Below are 22,315 nucleotides of genomic sequence, written 5' to 3'. Positions count from 1 at the left end.
AGCCCAGGGATGACATGAGAAGAGTAGAAGCTGCATCAGAAAGCAACCTGCCCCCATCATTTCTGAACTTGATAAGGAAGTAGACTGGCAAGTCTTTTAATGCCAGGTCATGAATCTAGATCACAAGGAGACTTTCTTACTTGGGTGTACGGGCCTTTAGCTGACCTAATAGCTACTTCTCTACATGAAGCTACTGGAATGAAGCCCAGGCACTCTACCAACCCACTCTACCATTCCCCTCCCCTACCCACACACAGACATCACACACAGTCAATCCACATAACCTAAAGGAACTTTCAAGTGTTTCTGAGCTATTATTTTGATGCTCCATACTATTAAAACATTTAATAATAACTCTTCCAACTCTTCTAAATCACACTATTGTTCAGACCATGGAAGAAACTCAAATTAGAGGATGACAAACTAATGCCCCCTTGTCCAGCTCTGCCTAAGAAACCAAAATCTTGGGGACACACAGCCATAGATTTGTAAGTCCTTTCCTGATGACAGTAACTACCATTTTATAGTCAAGTATTAAACCTTCCCCTACATAATCATAACTTATTGCCATAACACCCTCAGAAAGTTATTATCATTGCATTGTATTGGTGAATAAAAGGAGGATCTGAGAAAGTAATTACCCAAGCTCACCCTCCTGGCAAATGAGGTTTCTAGAATTCAAACCCACCTCTGAGATCATCTTCCTACTACACTAGCCTGCCTCTATTCCCCAAAGAGACTGGCACTTAATAAACACTCTGTTAGTAATGAATTCAACCACAGGAGAGAGTAAGCCTTGGCATTTTTCTGACTGGAGGAATCTTCCTACCTGCACCCACTCTAGGGACTATATGACAATGACTTTCGGCCTCGGGAGACGGCCATCTCCACCTGAACTGGGCCCAGCACATAGGTGAGCCTTGAGCATTCCACTCTTCCCACTCTTTCTTGCCCCAGAATCCCAGAGCTGGAGCACTGAGGCAATTCCGGAACAGCATCTACTGTCTGATATGTGGGGATAGGAGTGGAAAGGGGAAAAGAACAGCTTGTGCCTTCGGGAATTTGCTCCCTGAAGTCCCTGCAGTGATTTCGTTTGTGTCTGGCTTCCTACAAACAAAGCAGAACAATGAGAGGAAGGAATACCAGGAGGCACCAGCGCTAGCTGGAAGGAGAGGAAGTTTGTGGTGCTCGCCAGCAGGGCGGTTCCCGGCCACTAGTGTACTGCAGCTGGGCAGGCACACTCCTCGCAGACCCGGCGCTCTCCAAGGAGAAAAGAAAGTTAGTGGGCTTGGGGTACGTTTCCCTTCTTTTCCTAGAAGAGGGTGGCAGGGGGGCTGGCTCAGAAAGAAACCATCACTGACCAACACTTGGGGTACTCTGTCAAAATGCTGCTCCTTCCATACTGAGTCTCTTTGCTCCTCCTCTTTCCCCCAGTCAACCTGGGGTTAAGTGGGAAGGGGAGTAAGGCAACTCCAGGGGATGCCTTCCAAACTCCGGGAGAGGGAAAGCACAGGAATTGGGAGAAGACGTGAAGGCAGAGCTTGAACTCCTATGTACCCGGTGACACAAGACTGCTCTGAGGGTGGCGCCCGCTGCTTCTCCCGGGCGCCCCGCCAGCCGCTCTCCCTGGCAGTGGCGCCCTTTCCTCGCCCTCTGCCCGCCCAAGAGCTGCTGGCCCAGAGCAGCCGCATTCCCGACCCTCCAAGGCGAAGATCCCCTGGATTCACCCCCTCACTGGCCTTTCCGCCTAACTGACTGAAACCCGGCTCCCCAGGCACAGATTTTCCAGCCTCCCTAAGAAATGAAAGGTTCGCGTGCCCTTCACCTCCCTCCCTGCTTTCCAGCGTCCTCAGCGCCTCCCCGAACAGCCAGACAGTGGAGCGCCCCGTGTTGGGGAGAGGAGGGGAGCAGACGCCTCCGAAGTTTGGAAAAGTTACACAGGGGCTGGGGACTGGGGGTAGGGGGTGCCGACCGGGAGAAGGGGAGGGTCACCTGTTGAGGGAGGGAGGGAAAGTTTGCCTGGCCCCGCCTCCTCCTCGGGGCACCCCGCTCCCAGCCGCGCCGCGCCTCCCCACCTGGCCCGCGCTCACCTTGAGGCCGCGGATCTCGCCGAGGTGCAGCTGCAGGCGGCGGTTCACCTCGCGGATGAGGTTGCTGTGGTCCAGCATCGCGCTCACCTTCTCCGCCTCGGCGCGCCGCAGGCTGCGGATCAGCTCCTCCTTGCTCCACTGCAGCAGCTCCTCGTCCGACACTTTGGACAGGTCCTCCACCGGCGCGGGCGGGGCCGCGGACGAGCCGGCCGGGGCTGGGGAACAACTTTCCGCCGCCGCCGCAGCCGCCGCCGCGCCTCCGGCCGCCTTCGACATGGTATCCGCGGGGTGGCAGGTGCAAGTGGGTGGAAGAGGCGAGGCGACTCCCGAAGGCGCGGGCGCGGCGAGGCCGCCTCCGCCCACACCCCTGTGCGCTCCGGCGAGTCAGCGGCACCGCCCAGGGGCCGCTGGGTTGGGGCGGCGGGGGTCGCGCTGGGTGGCCATCCTACCTCGCCATCCCCGCGCGCGCGCCCGCGCTCCCCCAGGGCCCGGCAGCCAGCCGCTTGCTGCTGCCGAGGCCCGTCCCAACTCCGCGCAAGTCCATGGTGAGGGGCACTGGGGAGCCCGGGGCTGCCGCGGGAAATCCTCGGGGACAGCGGGGGAGCTGCACCGCCGTTCCCCTGCCCTCTCCTCCGCCCTAAGCCGAGACTGTCGCCCCCCGCACTCTCTGCCCTGCACACAGGCGTGCACGCACACGCACTTTCCTCCCCCTTGCCCAGCTGCAGCCCCCGGCTTCTCCCCTCTCCTAGCTTGGAGGGCGCGCCGGGCACCGCGGCGCCTCCCCGGCTGCTCTAGCGACGCCGCCGCGGCTGCCCGAAGGCTGCTGCGCTCCTCCTGCCGCCTTCGCTGCGCCCGCGGCCGCTCCTAGGCTGCTCCGGAAAGCCTTCGATTTGCAGAGCGGAGTCGAGAAGGGGTGGAGGGTGGGGGACCGGCTGGAGGAGGAGCCTGGAGCTGGGGCCACCCGTAACCCGCAGCAGCTCCCGCATGGGCTGGACGCAGCTGCCACTCGACCGCTGCCCGGGCCCTCGAGGTGCGCTCCCGGCTGTCCTGCCCGGGAGGGCTGGGGGCGCGGCTCTTTCTGCGCCCGGGCGGGTGGGGCTGGAATGGGGAGAAGGTGAGGAGCTGTGGCCGCCCGGTCTTTGGGAGGCTCGCGCGCGCCACCGTGTGGCGGAAGAAGCTCCCTCCTCTGCCCTCTGCACACCGGCCTTGTCACCAGGCAGGGGAAACAGCTGCTGACCCAAATGCGAGGTGCTTCGTATTTGGAGGGATCGGGGATCAGGAAAGATGGGGTAGCAGGACCTGAGGGATAACCAGTTATTTGCACTTTGGAGAATGGGAGGAGAGGCAAATGGCAAAAACGGGGGTTGGGGAAAGGGGCAGCTTAAGAAAATCCAAATGGTCTGAAAAGGGCGAAAAGAGGCGTCAGGGCACTGCTCTTATGGGGCTACCCATCCCCACCCCCCACTCTCGCCCCACCCCTAGGCCTTTGTGTTTTCTAAAAATCCACTACTCTATGAAGAAGCTTCGGGAGAAGGTACTGGATCTTTTAAATTTTTATTTGAAAAATATCAAAGCCTTTAGGCGAAAATAAAATACCTTCATCTCCTGCTTCCTGAAACCTGGATTTTAAGGTCAGCACAGTCACCTCCCCTCGGAGCAAAGCAAGCCCCCTCAGGCAAGCTGAAATGCCAGCCAAGGAGATTTCCATTTTCTTCTATGCCGCAGGCTGCCAGGCGTTTACTGGGTCGGCTTTTTTATGATGGTTATTTCTGGAAGGAGGAAGTCTGAGTCCCTGGCTTCTATCTTTGGGCTATCCTCTTGTAAAGTTGGGTGGAATCGTCTCTGGGCTGAAAACATGCTTTTGCCTAAAGAGGTGGATGCCCTTGACCACCGCATGTTATTTCCAGTGGGGTACAGGGCCGGAAAATGGCAAGGATCTACCCCCACCGGGTTTCAGTTAACCCGGGTGCAGAGGGAATAATCTCTATCTGGTAGGATGATAATCAAAATCAGTCCCTTCACCCGCCGGTCAGTGCGTGTCCCCTATTGGGGACACTGAGACCTGGCTCCCGGGAGAGGCAAGGAAATGTGGTACTGCTTACGGTGACCAAATGGCCTTAACATTCCCCTCAGCTTAACTAAACTTTAGACAGGTTTCTTCCTAACTGTAGGCCCCAGACCTTCCTTTTCTCAGAGCATTTACTTTAGCCAACTTCCATTGGTGAATGTTTCCTCTGACCCTTTGACATGTAAATCTCTCCGCCTCTTGCTGGGTTTTACAGCCTGGGGATCTTTCTCAGGGATCTGTGAGGCATCCCTTTGAAATGTAATCATCAAGGAAAAAAGGGTCCCTATCTCCTAGTGTTTGTGGAGAGGAGGAGCCTAACTTTAATAAGTTCCAATTAGGAAACACAAATGGCCTCATTACACTGACCAACTTCCCATCCTAATCTCCTCCACTAGTCTTCTACTAGTTCCCCTCTCCCTCCCTCTCTCTCTTCCCTATTGCAATAGCCTTGAATAATTCCCCCTTGTCTGTTTAACTATATCGGATGCAATTTTTCTTTGACACCTCCAAGCCGCTCTCACGCCCACAGAAGGCTCTGCTCAACACAGTTCCTAAGACCAGTTTTGTCACAGAAAGGGAAAGTGAAGGTCAGAAAAAGATAAGTCCTATCTCTGTTACTTGTTAGTTCTTGTCCTTGAACAAACCATCCGACCTTACTGGCCCTCGGGCAGCTAATGATATGGTATACAAGAAGCGCTTGATCGAGCCACCCTACAGAAATGCAACCTTACTATTACTGATATTACATATTACATTGGGCAGCCTCTTGTCTAGAAATAGGAACCAGGACTTCTGTTTATTCCTCCATCACGGGTTCTTCAAGAGTCGTATTCTAAAATGAAACAGCCAGCCCCCTTCTCTGCTAACTCCCTCTGATCAGTTAACACCAAATAGATATGAGAAATCAGAGAGATGGCTGAGAGGAAAAATTAGACTTGTGTTGGGAAGACAAGGAAGAAGGAAAGCCAAAAAAAAAAAAAAAGTCTCCACAAATTATATACACTAGCAGTGGATTACAGTTGAGCTAGATCACCTTAAGGTTTTCATGTTTCTAATTTTGGTCATTGATTCAGAATAATAATTATCTGCATGAATGAATAATGTTGCTTCATGTTGCTAAGGTCATGTATGGTGTCAGGAGCTTCATTTGACTGCTAAAAACAGAAACTCAAAAAACAGTCACTTTAAAAAAGTCATTTATTTTTTCTCACCTACCTGGTATTCTAAAGAGAGGCAGCTGAGGGCTGGTATGGTATCTTCATGAGGTCGTCAAAATCTTAGGCTCCTTCTCTCAGCTCAGTCCCCTTTGGGATGATTGCCTCGTGTCCATAACATGGTTGGTGGAACTCTAGCCATCCAGCTACGTGTAAGGCAGGAAGAAGGTAATAACAACTGCAAAGGGGCACATGCCCCTTTAAAAACTTTTCCTGGTGGCCGGGGGCGGTGGCTCATAACTGTAATCCCAGCACTTTGGGCGTCCGATGCAGGTGGATCATTTGAGGTCAGGAATTCAAGACCAGCCTGGCCAATATGGTGAAACCCCATCTTTACTAAAAATACAAAAATTAGCTGGGCATGGTGGTGCGTGCCTATAATCCCAGCTATCGGGAGGCTGAGGCAGGAGAATCGCTTGAGCCTGGGACGCGGAGGTTGTGGTGAGCCAGGATCGTGCCACTGCACTCCACTCTGGTCGAAAGAGTGAGACCCTGTCTCAAAAAAAAAAAAAAAAATCCTGGTAATTGACCCAGTGAATTTTGTTTATGTTCTAATAGGCAGAGCTTACCATATAATCACCTCCCAGCTGCAAGGGAAGCTAGGACAGTGTTTTAAGTTGGGTATATTAAATGGAGATTTCTGAAAACCAGCCATAAATGACCCTACGTCTTTAGTCCTGATGGTTTTATATCATATAATTTTCTTCAGTCAACTCTATTTCCCCCCAGCTCACTGTTACTCAGCCTAGGTTCTCACTAAGTCTCACCTGGCCCTTCTCACTGGTCCCTCTGACTACTGCATCACCTCTCTCGAATCTGCTTTCCACACAACTTCCCAAGTGAATCATCTCAAAAAGTCAAGTCTAGCTACTTTACCCCTGAGACAGATTGAATTATTGCTGATAATTTTTCACAACCTCCCTACAAAATTAATTAACATCGGCCAGGTGTGGTGGCTCACGCCTGTAATCCCAGCTCTTTGGGAGGCCAAGGCGGGTGGATCACGAGATCAGGAGATCTAGACCACCCTGGATAACACGGTGAAACCCCGTCTCTACTAAAAATACAAAATATTAGCCGGGCGTGGTGTCGGGTACCTGTAGTCCCAGCTACTCGGGAGGCTGAGGTGGGAGAATGGCGTGAACCCAGGAGGCGGAGCTTGCAGTGAGCCAAGATAGCACCACTGCACTCCAGCCTGACGGCATAGCGAGACTCTGTCTCAAAAAAAAAAAAAAAAAAAAATTAACATCACCTTCCACCATGTGATGTTGTAGCACCTCCCCTACAGGGGGCAGTTTTTCTCCCCTCCCTACTGGTATTGAAAATCATATTGCAAGCATATGACTTGCTGTACTAACGCATGTGTGTGCACCTGACAGTGTACCCCTTCTCTGAAGAGGTCTCAAAAGGCGTCTGTCTGCCCACTCACCCGTCTGTTCTTTCCACGCTTCACCAGGAGAAGAGCTAACCTTGGGTAGCTGCTGTTCCTTCAGTCTGAGCCACACACTCAGCCACCCCAGCCAACCTGAAGATCTGCAGCATGAAGCAGAGCTATGCTCACAGACTCACAGATCTGTGTGTGAGAAAACAAGACTGTTGTTTAAGCTACCGACTTTTGGGGAGATTTATTGTGCAGCATTACTAATGCAATAGTTAGCAGATACAACTCCCCTGCCTAAATCCCTTTGGGGGCATCTCAGCACCTTTCTGTGGAGTGAAGCTACATTTCTTAGCAGAGCATGTAAGATGGACACAGTCTGATGCTTGCTTACTTTTTCAGCTCCAACTCCTACCATACTTTGCCTGCCTCATATTTCATACTTTTTCAGTTCTAAACTGCCTTGTAGCTCCCTGTCAGCATTCAATATACCTCCGTACCACACTGATGCTCTTTTCTCATGCATGAAATGCCTTCCTTGCCTTATCCTTCTGAATAACTTCCAACCAGATCCTTCAAAAGGCATCATCTTATCCAGAGTGCTGGCATCAGCCCACATTTCCCTGGCAGAGGCAAAGGTGAGTGTCCCTCTCCACTCCCATAACCTCCAGTGCATACCCCTAGTGCAGTACCTAAAATAGAATGCTGAATTACAGGAAAATATAAGCAGAGGCTCAAACTAATCCAGTCCAATCCCAACAAAAGGGTTTAGCTCCGGCCAGGATTTAATATTATCTCTTTTCTGCTTTCTCCAAACCATACAAATTTTTGTCATGCTCTACAAAACTCCTTGGTGCCATTAGGGATGTTACTGAGGACATTGCTCACGACATCCCATAATACCTTATAAAAACTGCACCTAATCCCTGTGGTTCTTTGGGGGAACTACATAATTTTCATCCTATGGACACTGAATTTTGCAATTGGTTATGTATTCCTCTTTGTGCTGGCTTCTAGGAAGTTAGATCTAAATTTGTGGCCCACCTTCAATAATTTAGAGAAAACTTAAGGAATGTAATCTGTTGACTAACCTGACTTCCATCATTTTCTCACTTTCAAATTTCTCCCTCACAGTTTCTTCTTTTTAACCTTATGTGTATGTATCTTTGCAAGTTACTGCTGGCATTTTTAGTAAGGCAGAAAAGAGAGGAAGGGAGGGAGGGAGGGGGAGAAGGGTCTCATCTTCAATTATAGACCCTATAATGTTTTCTGTCTCTCATTTACTTTGGTATCTGCTTTGGCTTGAACATGTGTCCCTCCGATATTCATATGTTGAAACTTAAACCTTAAGGTAATGGCATTAAGAGGGGGCCTTGGGAAGGTGATTAGGCTGTGAGGGCTCTGCCCTCATGGATGGGATTAGTGCCCTTATAAAAGGACTTGAGAGAGCAAGTTTGTCCCTTTTTGCCCACCCTTCTCTTCTACCGGATGGGGAAACAGCATTTGTCCCTTTTTGCCCCTTTTGCCTTTCCACCATGTGAGGACACAGTAAGAGGGGCCGTCTGTGAAGCAGAGAGTGAGCCTTCACCAGACACTGAATCTACTGGACTCTTGATCTTGGACTTCCCAGCCCCCAGAAATATGAGACATACATTTCTAATATTTATAAAGTACCTAGTCTAAGGTATTTTCTTATAGCAGAATAAATGGACTAAGACAATGTCTTTTTCCTCTTTTAGCTCCTAAGCTCCCGAAGACAAGGTCTATTTCCTAACACAGAGTTAGTATTCAATAAATACAGGAGGGAAGGAGGAAAGAAAGAAGGGGGAAGGGAGGAGAGAACAAGTTTTCCAAGGGCCTTCATTCTGATTTTTTAAAATATCTTTCTTGTTTGGGTTGGGTCACCACCCAAACACATACACAAGATCTCTTCCTTTTGAAAATATCATTACTGTTTAGTATATTTGGAAGTCAGAAGAGTGATACGTAGTTCGGAAATTTTTTTAATATTTCAAAATTGTTTAAGTGTTGGATAATATGATGCTTTAACAAGTTAGCCTCAAATCTCTGCAAAAAATGCACTTCAGGCAATGAGCTTATTTTATGTTGATGCCAGACATAAATATCATATATACAAACAAGGCTGAGGTTTATCTCATTTTTCTGTGTTGCAACAAATAACACAGGCAGCCACTAAAACGCCCTGTCTTGCTCCATCAAGAACCAATTTCCCAGGCAATACCTCAAAACTCTACAGAAGTACATTCAATTTTAGCTTTGTTACCTAATTCTGAGTTGAGATGCAGAGAACACCGTCATTGTGTGGAACTAGTAAGTAGCTGGGAATTCCCCTAAAATAACAGAAACCTCTGGTGGTAATGTTATTGATGGATGGCCCCAGAGATACTTCCACTGTGAGCTACTCCCAAAGTGCTTTGCCTTATCTAGCCCTACAAACTGAACATTTAGGAGCTTGCTGCCTTTTATCCTATTTTGTTCCCCCAGGTACTATGGCAGAAATGGCCAGGGAAGGGTTTATCTAACCACCAGGAGTACGCAAAGAAGAGAGGTCCAGCCAGCCTGCCTCTCAGATTGTTAAGATGCCAGGTGTCTTTTGGCTCATGGAAACAGCTGTTCTGCCCCCTCCCGAACCCTAGACTCACAGCTACACTCTATGGGTAAGTTGAAGCATGCATTCCAGAGAGAAAAGCATAAAGCAGAGGGTACTTTAGGAGCCTGTATCTCCTGTTGTTTGTAAAGAAAATTGGCATATCTCTGTGTAATAATCCCTGGACCAGTAATGCTATCTGTATTATTAACTTTCCTCCAGGTCTCTACTGCATGGATTGTCAATCTTGGCTGCATACTGGAATTACCTGGGGAGTTTCAGATGGCCCCTCACTAGATTTAGTTTGTCTGGGGTGCAGTCTGGACACTAGGTATTTCAAAACTGTCCACATGATTCTGATATGCAGCAATTTGAGAATTACTGTTGTTGATAGTATAGAACACCACCCTGTAGAAATATAATACAAGCCACACATGTAATTTTAGATTGTCTAGTAGTTGCATTTAAAAAGTTAAAAAAGTGATAATTTTAATAATATATTTTCTTTAACCTAATATATCTAAAATGTTATTTCAACATGTAATCAACATAAACATTATTGAGAAATTTATACTTTTTTATTAACACTTCAAAATGGATTGTGTAGTTTATACTTACAACACTTTTCAATTCAGACCAGCCACATTTCAAGTGCTCAGTAGCTACATGTGACTAGTGGCTGCCATATTGGACAGCATAGCTACAGACTATGTGGGGGGTGAGCAGCAAAATGAGGGTGGCACCTGTAGTGGACTGAATAATGCCCTCCATCCAAAAGGTATCCACCACCACCTCATCCTTAGAACCTGTGATTGTTCTCATGTATAGCAAAAAAGGACTTAGTAGGTGTGATTGCTTTAGGTATCTTAAAATGGTAAGATTCCCTTAGCTTATCCAGATAGGCTCAAAATTCAATTGCATGTTTTCTTATCCAGGTGGGACCAAAATGCAATTGCATATTTCTTTATAAGCAGGAGATTTCACAAAGAAAAGGAGAAGGCAAGAACCACAGAGGCAAAGATTGGAGAGATGTGGCTGCAAGTCAGGCAGTATCTAGCTGCCACTAGATACTGGAAGAGTCAAGGAATGGACTCTCCCTGGAGACTCCAGAGAAAACCTAGCCCTTCTGACTCCTTGATTGTTGCCTTATAAGACTCATTTCAGACTTTAGGCTGCGTATGAGAGAATAAATTTCTGTTGTTTTAAGCCACAAAGTTTGTGACCACAATAATAATATAGCACCATTTATAACAAAGCACTATGTTTTTATCTGTATTAGTATAGTTATCACCGTCTTTCTTACTTTATACCTGGTGGATACCTATTGATTTTCTTTTTAGAGGGCAGGGATCTGTCTTATTCATGAGTGAATACTCTGCTGCACCTGGGAACTAAAGTGTTTGCCATAGGAGTGCAGTAAAGTTTGTTCAAATGGATCTGAAGCTCAGTCTCTGTGGTGCCCATATTCTTGTGTGCATACAGGGAAAGGACAAAGGGAAGGCTGCTTCCTGAAGAGATCTCCATATGGAAGAGCTGCAGATCACAAACAACCCACACAGCCATTGTAACGCCTGCTTGCCTGGTCACTTGTGTTTCTGAGAAGCCATAACTCCAAGAATAGCGAAGGGAAGAAAATGCCAAAAAGCAGGGGCTGCCTAACAGGTCTGACTTGCAAGGCAAACTCCTGGCAGGCCTGGCCAGCTTCTGCTTGTCCCAGTGCAATCCCACCCCCATAGGATCTGGAATTTTTCAGTCCCTTTGCTAAGATTCCTGAAATAGACTTAATGAAGAGCCTCAGAAGTGAAAATTCCTCTTCACACATTTGCTCAAGAAGATTGCTTTTCTCCTAACACAGAAATCAGCTGCCTTGAGGATGTGCAAGTTTGATTAGGGAGTCTGCTCTTGCCTATTTCTCAAACGGTTCAGGCCCTGACAGAATCAGTGTCACCCCTAAGGTATTTGCTTCAAATGCCCCCCATATAATCAAAACTTATAAATGATAAACCAAAAGTTGAGGTACACTCATTGCCTTTCAGAATGAAACCTTCCAAGGGGCCATGATCATATTGTGACTGGACAAGAACTATCATGGATGAGGCACATCATCTTTTGGAACCATCTATGGAACAGATATTATTATTCCATTTTGCGGAAGAGGAATCTGAGGCTCAGGCCAGACAGATGCAGCTAACGTTGAGTGGCATCCTGATGATCACCTTCATCACAAAAGGAAGGAGTGCTCTGAGGACTGTAGGTGGCTCTCAGAACCCTGACCTCCACGGCAGCCATCAAGGAGTGGCAAAGGGGGTCCACAGTGGCATATGCAGTGAGATCCAAGTTTTAGGCATTCGGAGTAGAGCAAGCCACGAATGAGAACAGGTTCTGAAAGTGACAGAAAAGGAGTCACTTTTTTGGTTCCATATGAACTTTAAGGTAGTTTTTTCCCAGTTCTGTGAAGAAAGTCATTGGTAGCTTGATGGGGATGGCATTGAATCTATAAATTACCTTGGACAGTATGGCCATTTTCATGATATTGATTCTTCCTACCCATGAGCATGGAATGTTCTTCCATTTGTTTGTATCCTCTTTTATTTCCTTGAGCAGTGGTTTGTAGTTATCCTTGAAGAGGTTCTTCACATCCCTTGTAAGTTGGATTCCTAGGTATTTTATTCTCTTTGAAGCAATTGTGAATGGGAGTTCACTCATGATTTGGCTCTCTGTTTGTCTGTTGTTAGTGTATAAGAATGCTTGTGATTTTTGTACATTGATTTTGTATCCTGAGACTTTGCTGAAGTTGCTTATCAGCTTAAGGAGATTTTGGGCTGAGACAATGGGGTTTTCTAGATATACAATCATGTCATCTGCAAACAGGGACAATTTGACTTCCTCTTTTCCTAATTGAATACCCTTTATTTCCTTGTCCTGCCTAATTGCCCTGGCCAGAACTTCCAACACTATGTTGAATAGGAGTGGTGAAAGAGGACATCCCTGTCTTGTGCCAGTTTTCACAGGGAATGCTTCCAGTTTTTGCCCATTCAGTATGATATTGGCTGTGGGTTTGTCATAGATAGCTCTTATTATTTTGACATACGTCCCATCAATACCTAATTTATTGAGAGTTTTTAGCATGAAGCGTTGTTGAATTTTGTCAAAGGCCTTTTCTGCATCTATTGAGATAATCATGTGGTTTTTGTCTTTGGTTCTGTTTATATGCTGGATTACATTTATTGATTTGTGTATATTGAACCAGCCTTGCATCCCAGGGATGAAGCCCACTTGATCATGGTGGATAAGCTTTTTGATGTGCTGCTGGATTCGGTTTGCCAGTATTTTATTGAGGATTTTTGCATCAATGTTCATCAGGGATATTGGTCGAAAATTCTCTTTTTTGGTTGTATCTCTGCCCGGCTTTGGTATCAGGATGATGCTGGCCTCATAAAATGAGTTAGGGAGTATTCCCTCTTTTTCTATTGATTGGAATATCACCAAGTCCATCCTAAGCCAAAAGAACAAAGCTGGAGGCATCACACTACCTGACTTCAAACTATACTACAAGGCTACAGTAACCAAAACAGCATGGTACTGGTACCAAAACAGAGATATAGATCAATGGAACAGAACAGAGCCCTCAGAAATAACACCGCATATCTACAATTATCTGATCTTTGACAAACCTGACAAAAACAAGCAATGGGGAAAGGATTCCCTATTTAATAAATGGTGCTGGGAAAACTGGCTAGCCATATGTAGAAAGCTGAAACTGGATCCCTTCCTTACACCTTATACAAAAATCAATTCAAGATGGATTAAAGACTTAAACGTTAGACCTAAAACCATAAAAACCCTAGAAGAAAACCTAGGCATTACCATTCAGGACATAGGCATAGGCAAGGACTTCATGTCTAAAACACCAAAAGCAGTGGCAACAAAAGCCAAAATTGACAAACGGGATCTAATTAAGCTAAAGAGCCTCTGCACAGCAAAAGAAACTACCATCAGAGTGAACAGGCAACCTACAAAATGGGAGAAAATTTTCGCAACCTACTCATCTGACAAAGGGCTAATATCCAGAATCTACAATGAACTCAAACAAATTTACAAGAAAAAAACAAACAACCCCACCAAAAAGTGGGTGAAGGACATGAACAGACACTTTTCAAAAGAAGACATTTATGCAGCCAAAAAACACATGAAAAAATGCTCACCATCACTGGCCATCAGAGAAATGCAAATCAAAACCACAATGAGATATCATCTCACACCAGTTAGAATGGCAATCATTAAAAAGTCAGGAAACAACAGGTGCTGGAGAGGATGTGGAGAAATAGGAACACTTTTACACTGTTGGTGGGACTGTAAACTAGTTCAACCATTGTGGAAGTCAGTGTGGCGATTCCTCAGGGATCTAGAACTAGAAATACCATTTGACCCAGCCATCCCATTACTGGGTATATACCCAAAGGACTATAAATCATGCTGCTATAAAGACACATGCACACGCATGTTTATTGTGGCATTATTCACAATAGCAAAGACTTGGAACCAACCCAAATGTCCAACAATGATAGACTGGATTAAGAAAATGTGGCACATATACACCATGGAATACTATGCAGCCATAAAAAATGATGAGTTCATGTCCTTTGTAGGGACATGGATGAAATTGGAAATCATCATTCTCAGTAAACTATCGCAAGAACAAAAAACCAAACACCGCATATTCTCACTCATAGGTGGGAATTGAGCAATGAGAACACATGGACACAGGAAGGGGACATCACACTCTGGGGAGTGTTGTGGGGTGGGGGGAGGGGGGAGGGATAGCACTGGGAGATACACCTAATGCTAGATGACGAGTTAATGGGTGCAGCACACCAGCATGGCACATGTATACATATGTAACTAACCTGCACATTGTGCACATGTACCCTAAAACTTAAAGTATAATAATAATAATAATAATAAAAAAGAAAAGGAGTCACTGTGTTTTTGTCACCTGGGAAAGGAGTCCTAATTGTAGGATAATTTTCATAGAAGGGAGTCATAACTCGATTCCGGTTTCTCTGGTCACATCTACGGAAGTTCCCAAAACATGCTCTTTCCCACTCGGGGATGTTCACATACAATGCTCTGTGCCTAAGCACCACTGTGCTGCTGGATAATTCCTACATCTTCACGTCTCAGCCTTAAGGGCATTGCCCCAGATATACTATCACTGACTGACTTATCTAAAGTACCTACTTTATCTTGAGTTCATCACCTTGTCTATTTCCTTCATACCGCTTATCATTTGCAGTTATTTTCTATTTTGTTTGTTCATATTCTACTTTCAGCTGTGGAAGGCATGAGGGGAAGAGCTTTGTTTGTGTTATGCCTGACCTGTACTAGGTCCTCAGTAACTCTTTTATTGAATAGATGGATTGCAGGTTTTGAGTATTTGCTGATCAGCACATAGTGAGCCCCTGGCCATGCTGTGCTTTATCCCAGTATGAATTCCCCTCGGGAACTCTGATTCCATTGGTCAGGAGTGAGACCCTGGAAAAGTGTAACTGAAGGCTGCTTCTGATGCAGTCAGTAGAACATGTGGGACCCCTGTACCTGCCTCCCTCACACAATCTTTATTTGTTCTCTTTGCAGTGGGAGTCATGGCAGCAACAATAATTCACACATTCATTTCTGGGTCTTTGGGGTCCCTGGGAGTATCCTTTGAATCCTGTTTGCATTTATGCCATTTGTCTACCCATCAGAATCCATGAATGAGATTTTAGGGCTACTGTTACCTCCTATACACTGTGAGTAAACACTCCTGAGGAAGAAGGAGAGACAAAGGCCACCACAATCTTTGAGGGGAATAGTCAGGGTATCCAAGGACTTTAGCTTTCTAGAAGACTCATTCTAAGTTCCTTAGAACCTAAAAGCAACACACATCCTCTAGAAGTTTACAAAAGAACTCATTCTCTCAGAAGCTAGACCACCTATGGTTGGCTAAATGAACTAGACACAGGCTTGAGTGAGAGGAAACCAACTTTAAAACCCATTTTATCAATAGTTGGAGAATGAAGCTAGAAATGGCAGCAGTAGGGAGCAGGGACTCTAGCCACATGGAGGTAGCATCAAATAAAAGAGCAGGAAAGAAATGGAGTACCTGAGAAGCGATCTTTACTCTGGGTCCTAACTATGCAGCCTGTGTTCCGTGGACGAGCAGCATCAGCTTCACTAAAGACATGTTATAAATTCAGAGTCTCTGTCCCCACGCTGGAGCTACTGAATGGAATCTGCCTTTTGACAAGATCTCCAGATGATTTGTAAGCACATCAGAGTTTAGCAAGCACTGACCTAAGCCAGTGCCATAGAGACATGGGGAACTAGAGAAAAATCCCTTAAAATTTAAGAAATTTCTTAGCTTGGGGAAAATTCTGCTAGGAACTTATCCAAACCTCAGTCACATGCAAGGGTAATTTGACTGGGGAAACAAACCACTCTCTCATTCCTGAGCATCTCAGCTCCTCAAGGAGAGTATAAGCTCACCGGAGTGAGTGAGTTTTCCTTAAACTTCTTGTTCTCACAGACTGCAGCCCTGTGAATTAGAACTGGAAAGTTGGTAAGCAGTGACAGGTCAAGTAAAGATAAACCTGAAGAGTTGACTGAAATTTGCTTCTGCCATTTTTTCTTAAACATTCTTTGCCTAGAACTTCAGCCAACCCTCCTAAGATGGTGTGTGAATATGAAGATCACAAAACTTTAGAAAATGGTTTAGGATCCTGTTATTAATGCTCCTAAGTATAATGTACCATTCCTCAGTGGTGGTATTTCCAGAGTTGGAAGTGTGGCTATGTTACTTTAATCTGCGTTAAGTGCCCCACAGGGAAGGTTACGTAAAAGTGCAAGAAATTGTGAAACCAATTTGGATAGCAGCTGAAAGCACAACAAAAACAAAACATTGCTTCTCTGGTTCATTGACTTTCATCTTCTCCCTAGGGCAAAAAGAATTCTCAAGCGCCTCATAACATCAGTGCTGCTCCTTCACCACCCGTTGTGGATGAATACCAATGATAATTCTTAGTGAGGGGCCATATGTCATGTACTGAAAACGTTACCTCACATTTAGCCTCTATTACAGGAATCTGTGTGATATCACAATGCCCTGAGTTTGTGCAGTTTGAGTGGTTTTTAAGAAAATTGATGAACAAAATGGTCCATATGTGTTCATAGTTATTAGTGTGCCTGTGTTTATCCAGAGATGTGTGTGTGTACATTTTTAATGTGTGGATTCTTGCCATTATAGCAATTAGAAGAGAAAAGGTCTTGGACAGGTAGAGTAAAACACCCGCTCAAAATATGTAATTACATGCCCATTTTCTCAGGAAAAAAAATAAAATCTATACCAGCCAGGACCTCCAGTGATTCTTCTGTAAGGAAGTATGCTCCAGAGCTTACCATTCTATTTTTTCCAAGAAGTGAGATGATTAGAAAGAGGGCTCTCATGTTTTGACGGCTCTGTCAGGCCTGTAGGTCAGGGCGGAAAGAGCCCAGGAACCTGGACTACCACTCAACTAGAGAAGAGATCTGACCTCTAGTCACCACCTGGCCAGGGGGCATCCAAGTGTCACCTCTGCAGCTCTGTTTTCACACCTTTAAAATGAGAAGGATAACAAGTGTCAGTCATAACTCTTTGTGTCAAAACAGTAAAAGGAACATGTTTTGAAAAGTACAAATTGCCACACCGAAATGCAACATGTGAGTATTTCTTTACAGATGTCACTCATCCCTATTTTGCTATGTCTTTCTCCAACCAGCAAAGGTATTCCAAGGATTCACCACTAATCTAACAGAGGGACTAAAGCCTTTGATTGCTTCTGTCGCTCTGAAATTCCAAGAATCACCCATCTTACATGACTCATGCTAAGACCTAGAACTTTAAACCACAGCCGAACCCTAGACTACATGGGAGTAAAGAGGGACATAATATTTTAAGGTGTAGTCACTGGCCCCCTTCCCCATCTCTGCACACCAATTACTGCTTCAGGCTTAGGTAGTCCATAGGGAACCTTTGTGTGAATTGGCAAAAAGCACCTCTTCCTCAGGTGGTGTCTCAAGTACTGTATTAGTCTGAGTTCTCCTGAGAAACACAAGCAATGGGATACACACACAGAGAGACAGGGAGAGACAGACAGACAGAGAGAGAGACAGAGAGAGATTTATTATGAAGAATTGACTCATGCAGTTACAGAGGCTGAGAAGACCCAAAATTTGCAGTCAGCAAGCTGAAGATCGAGAAAGTCAAAGGTATAATTCTAGTCTGAATCTTAAGACCTGAGAACCAGAAGAGTCAACGGTGTAAGTTCCAGCCCAAATACAAAAGCAGAAGACCAGTATCCCAATTTGGGGACACTCAGACCACAAATTCTCCCTTCCACTGCCTTTTTTTGTTCTAGTCAGGTCTTCAATGGATAGGATGAGGCATACCCACTTTAAGGAGGACAACCTGCTTTACTCAACCTTGAAATGTTAATCTTATTCAGAAACACCCTTTTTTATTTAACCAAGTATCTGGGCATTTACTGTAGCCCAGTCAAGTTAACATAAAAAATTAACCATCATAAGTAGGATGCTTGGAGAGCCACAGCTGTACTCCAGCCCCAACCTGTCCCTTGGCTAGATACCCTAGTGTAGAGCTCAATCTACACAAGCACACACAGTGGCCCTGCCTACTATCTACATTGGAAACTGCTCTAAAAAATGGCCTCCTCTCCTCTCTCCCAGCCTTTGTGGCTCATTCAATTCATTATATCCTCCCTAAATCCCATCGGAGATTCTGGACTGATCATGGTTTTGGGCTCCATATACTACCTAGAGCTACTCCCAACAAATGTTATTTCACTTTACAAATTGTTAGAATGCAGCTACCTTTTAATTTTTTACCTGTGGCTCCCCAGACAAGCATCTGATTTAAGGGACTTACATAGGTAAGGGGTATAATACTGAACCCTTCCTTTCAGTGGAAGCAGCACATATTTCCCTGGACCAGTGGGTCTGTGCAACACATTCAGTTTCCTCTGAGTGAAGAATAAGAGAACGAAGAAAATCAAAAAGGAAAAAACATCAGGGAAAAGACAAAATAAAATGAGTCCACAGTGCAAGGAATGATGTAAATGAACAGGGAGATAAACAGAAATAACAACTGAGAAAGCATTTAGTGAGCACTGCTTCCCAGAAATGACACTTGTGCAGAAGTGTAGCACACAGAATGAATCACTGTTTACCAGCCACAGACAGGGTGCTCTCAAGTTCAGCAATTAGGAGTGGAATGCGCAGTGCCTGGAGATGAGTGGTATAGGTCTGGCATCAGAGAGCAAACAAGACCTACTTTTATTATCACTCCAAAAAAAGGAGAGGTGGAAGGGAGGCATATAAAATTTCCCATATAAGTTTCACATGTACAATGTACAAATGTTTCACGAAATGAAGGGTTGGAATAAATGGCAGTTCCAAGTGGGTAAAAAAAAAAGGCTCAGATGTTGTTGGCTAAGAAATACAAACAATGCAGCCAGGGAAATCTGGGGGAATAGAGCTCTTGCCATGGTAACATGTTTAGAAACCAAACATGACTCTAATGTGGAAATGCAATTTTTATGCTAGAAAAATAAGCATAAATTGCTTTGCCTTAAAATACATACTTTCAGTGCTCATCCCTGAGATCTGAAAACCTGGAAATGAATCACAGACCCAAGGAGGCAGAAGCTTTGAGATTGGTGGTGTTAGGTGATTTTTCACACAAAGAGTTTGGAATTCTGGCCTTTTGACTGCCAGATGGATAGGATAGCTGTCATAGGCAGATGTTTTTCCTGCCAAATCAACAGCTAGCCTTGTAGAAACTCAGCTTAACCATAGTGATTGGGAAACCCAATTTCAGGCCAGCTTGTCCAACAGAAATTGTGGACAAAGCTCCCAAACACCTTAGTATTTCAGTCTCCACTTAGAGAACCTGGACCTCAGTATCCAAATAAGGCATGCCGTTACCCCTGTTATTCTCACCAGTCCAGTTTCCTTGCCAAAGTAACCTAAGCATAATCCCCCTTCATCAACATACTTGCATGTCCAGTGTGCATCTCAAACCTAACCCACCCAAACCTGGGCTCCTAAATAGTCTCCCAAACTTGTTCTCCCTACTGTCTTGTCCATCTCAGCAAATAGCAACTACATTTTCCCAGTTGCACAGACCAAACACCATGAAGTCACCCTTGACTCTTTCTCTTATACCCCTCATCATGTCATCTGTAATTCTATTGTCTCTACCTTCAAAGTACATCCAGGTTTTGATTGCTTCATACCCCTTCTACTGGTATCACCCTGATGCAAGCCACCACAGTCTTTTTCCTGGATGATTACTGTAGCCTCCTAGCTACACACCCTGCATCTTTGCCACCCACCAGCCTATTCTCAGCATAGGTAAAATATAAATCAGATTATATCATTCCAATATGCAAAACTCGATAGTGTCCTCCATCTCACTCAAAATGAAAGCTAAAGTTCACATAATGACCTAAAAGGCTTTGCACTATCTCTTCTCCCATACCTCCAGTACCTGCCTGTCCTTATCTCTGTTACCTTCTCCCTTGTTCACTCTGCCTCAAACACATTGACTTTGTCCCTTTTGACATAACAAGCTTAGTCCTTCCTCAGGTCTCACTGCTGGGACAGTACTTACTGCTTCCTCTGCTTAGAATACTCCTGCCCCAGGTATCTTACCTCGTCACTTCCTTCAGCTTTTAAGGTCTCAACTTAAACATTTCCCTAAAGGCTTCCCTGGTCATGTTTCTTGAAATGTAATACCCTCGCCAGTACTTCCCAACCTTGCCCCAATACAGATTGGCAGAGAGAGGGAGAGGGGTGGTTCCTCCCAATAGTCCCAGGGTGGAAGTCTATCTAAGGTTCTGCCATCCTATAGCTGCACAATCTGGAACATGTGACTTCCCAGCCAGAAAAAAGGGAAACAGAGCTTGGAGGTGGCATACTAGCTCTTAAATGCCTGGACATGAAAATGACACATATCAGCTCCATGCCTATTTCATTGGCTTCAACTAGTCAGTTTCATGTAATTGCAAAAGAGCTAGCAAGTGTAGTATTCCAAATGTTCAGGAAGGAAAGGAGAAGCAAACATGAATGAATTCTGTACCATGAACAGCTGTTTCTTCTGAAATACTTCACTTCTTGGGTAACTGGAATCTCTATCATCCCATCTTACTGCTCTAAAACATGCTTGTCCAACCCATGGCCCATGGGCCACATGCAGCTGAGGATGGCTTTGAATGTGGCCCAAAACAATTTGTGATTACATTTATTTATGTATTTATTTTATTAAAGTTCTAGGGTATATGTGCAAAACATGCAGGTTTGATGCATAGGTATACATGTTGCCATGCTGGTTTGCTGCACCCGTCAACTCATCATTTACATTAGGCATTTCTCCTAATGCTATCCCTCCCCTAGCTCCCTACCCACTGACAGGTCCCGGTGTGTCATGTTCCCTGCCCTGTGTCCAAGTGATCTCATTGTTCAATTCCCACCTATGAGTAAGAACATGCGGTGTTTGGTTTTCTGCCCTTGTGATACAACGTATGTAAGATAAAAACACAAAACACTATTGTTGAAGGAAGCATGCATATTCAAATGTATATGTTAAACACACTAGAATAGCTGCTTATGGGAAGAGAAGGGAAAAGGAGTGAGAATCAGAAAGAAAGAAGGGGAAATAATAACGTACAAGAGAATCCTCACACAGAATATAGTGCTAATGTGGTATCTACTGAGGAATATTACTAACTTAGCAAATACACAATTTTACATTCTAAATTCTTTTTGTTTTTTGAGGAAGCACTCCAAAAACATTTGGAATGGATTAATGAAAAGACATCAATTTAAAATTAGCCTTTAGATCAGGTGTGGTAACTCACGCCTGTAATCCCAACACTTTGGGAGGCCGAGGCAGGAGGATCATCTGCGGTCAGGAGTTCGAGACCAGCCTGGCCAACATGGTGAGACCCCATCTCTACTAAAATACAAAAAAAAAAAAAAAATAGCCAGGCATGGTGGCAGGCATCTGTAATCCCACCTACTTGGGAGGCTGAGACAGGAGAATCGCTTGAACCCGGGAGGCGGAGGTTGCAGTGAACCAAGATCACACCACTGCACTCCATCCTGGGTGACAGAACAAGATTCCATCTCAAAGATAAAATAAAATAAAACTAGCCTTTAGAACAATAAGACAGTTTGGGAAGAATTCCTTCTATATACTATGTTCTGATATCTAAGCCCAAAGCTAAGTCTATAAATAGTCAACAATAAAATATAATATTTTTTCTATCAAATTGACAAGCATAAAAAATTGTAACACTCTTGTGTTAGCAAAGGTATGAAGAAAGAAGCACATTCAAATGGATAGGAATATAAAATAGCACAACTTTCTGAAAAGCAATGTTTATTAAGATTCACAAAAATATTATAGCCTTTAACCCAGGACTTCCAGTCTTAGGAATTTATCATAAGAAAAATAATTTATTTACAATCACATATATCAAATGGTTTGAGGCAATATTATTTGACATAACAGAAAATTGCAAGTAACATAAATGTTCATAACATTTGCAACATAATTGCAAGTAACATAAATCTAATAAGGATTTGTTAAAGTATGGTATATCTACAGGATAGAATTTATTTCATTAATACATAATAGTAAAATTAAATGTTTATGATATATTACTACACAAATATAGCATTTTAAAATATGCCATATAATCCTAATTTTGATGACAGGAAAGATATAACTAAAATGTTAATAATAGTTATCTCTAAGTTAATATATGCTATAAATATAAGTGATCTATTGTTGATATGTACTTAATTAGAAAAATATTATAACAAAAACATTAGTAAATATTACAGATTATAATTCTA

At 44.5% G+C, this 22,315-nt stretch overlaps 1 protein-coding gene and 2 long non-coding RNA genes across 9 annotated transcripts in view, besides 1 other annotated feature; 1 reads left to right on the top strand and 2 right to left on the bottom strand.

Moving 5' to 3' along the window:
• CCDC85A (coiled-coil domain containing 85A) overlaps positions 1 to 3,139 on the bottom strand; it is a 202,323-nt gene extending 199,184 nt beyond the window's left edge. For 5 of the 7 annotated variants that reach the window (NM_001348512.1, NM_001348513.1, NM_001348514.1 and 2 more), the window contains exon 1: positions 2,091 to 2,868. In NM_001348512.1, the coding sequence (NP_001335441.1) occupies positions 2,091 to 2,366 (276 nt within the window). In that variant the 5' untranslated portion in view covers positions 2,367 to 2,868. Of the gene's footprint in view, positions 1 to 2,090 lie in introns of all 7 variants that reach the window. The other 2 variants (XM_024452642.2, NM_001080433.2) reach the window with 2 other exon arrangements.
• LOC100129434 (uncharacterized) lies at positions 1,221 to 13,457 on the top strand. The gene is made up of 3 exons (NR_125368.1): positions 1,221 to 1,293; positions 9,256 to 9,428; positions 10,841 to 13,457. It is a non-coding gene; the product is annotated as an uncharacterized LOC100129434 (long non-coding RNA).
• Positions 3,002 to 3,331: a silencer, noted in NCBI's record as "silent region_11502". NCBI's record gives its function as "represses an Ori minimal core promoter by ATAC-STARR-seq in GM12878 lymphoblastoid cells {active_cell/tissue: GM12878}" and the evidence as "EXISTENCE:reporter gene assay evidence [ECO:0000049][PMID:35858748]".
• The window catches only part of LOC105374690 (uncharacterized), a 231,734-nt gene continuing 218,852 nt past the window's right edge, over positions 9,434 to 22,315 (bottom strand). The window contains exons 8-9 of the long non-coding RNA XR_940109.3: positions 16,796 to 16,990; positions 9,434 to 9,766 (exon numbers count right to left, since the gene is read on the bottom strand). This is a non-coding gene — a long non-coding RNA (uncharacterized LOC105374690). The remainder of the gene's footprint in view (positions 9,767 to 16,795; positions 16,991 to 22,315) is intronic.

The sequence above is a fragment of the Homo sapiens genome, chromosome 2 (genome assembly GCF_000001405.40).
Source record: "Homo sapiens chromosome 2, GRCh38.p14 Primary Assembly".
NCBI classification, from domain to species: Eukaryota; Metazoa; Chordata; class Mammalia; order Primates; family Hominidae; genus Homo; species Homo sapiens.
The sequence above is the reverse complement of the archived record's forward strand: the minus strand, read 5'-3'. Positions and strand labels throughout refer to the sequence as shown.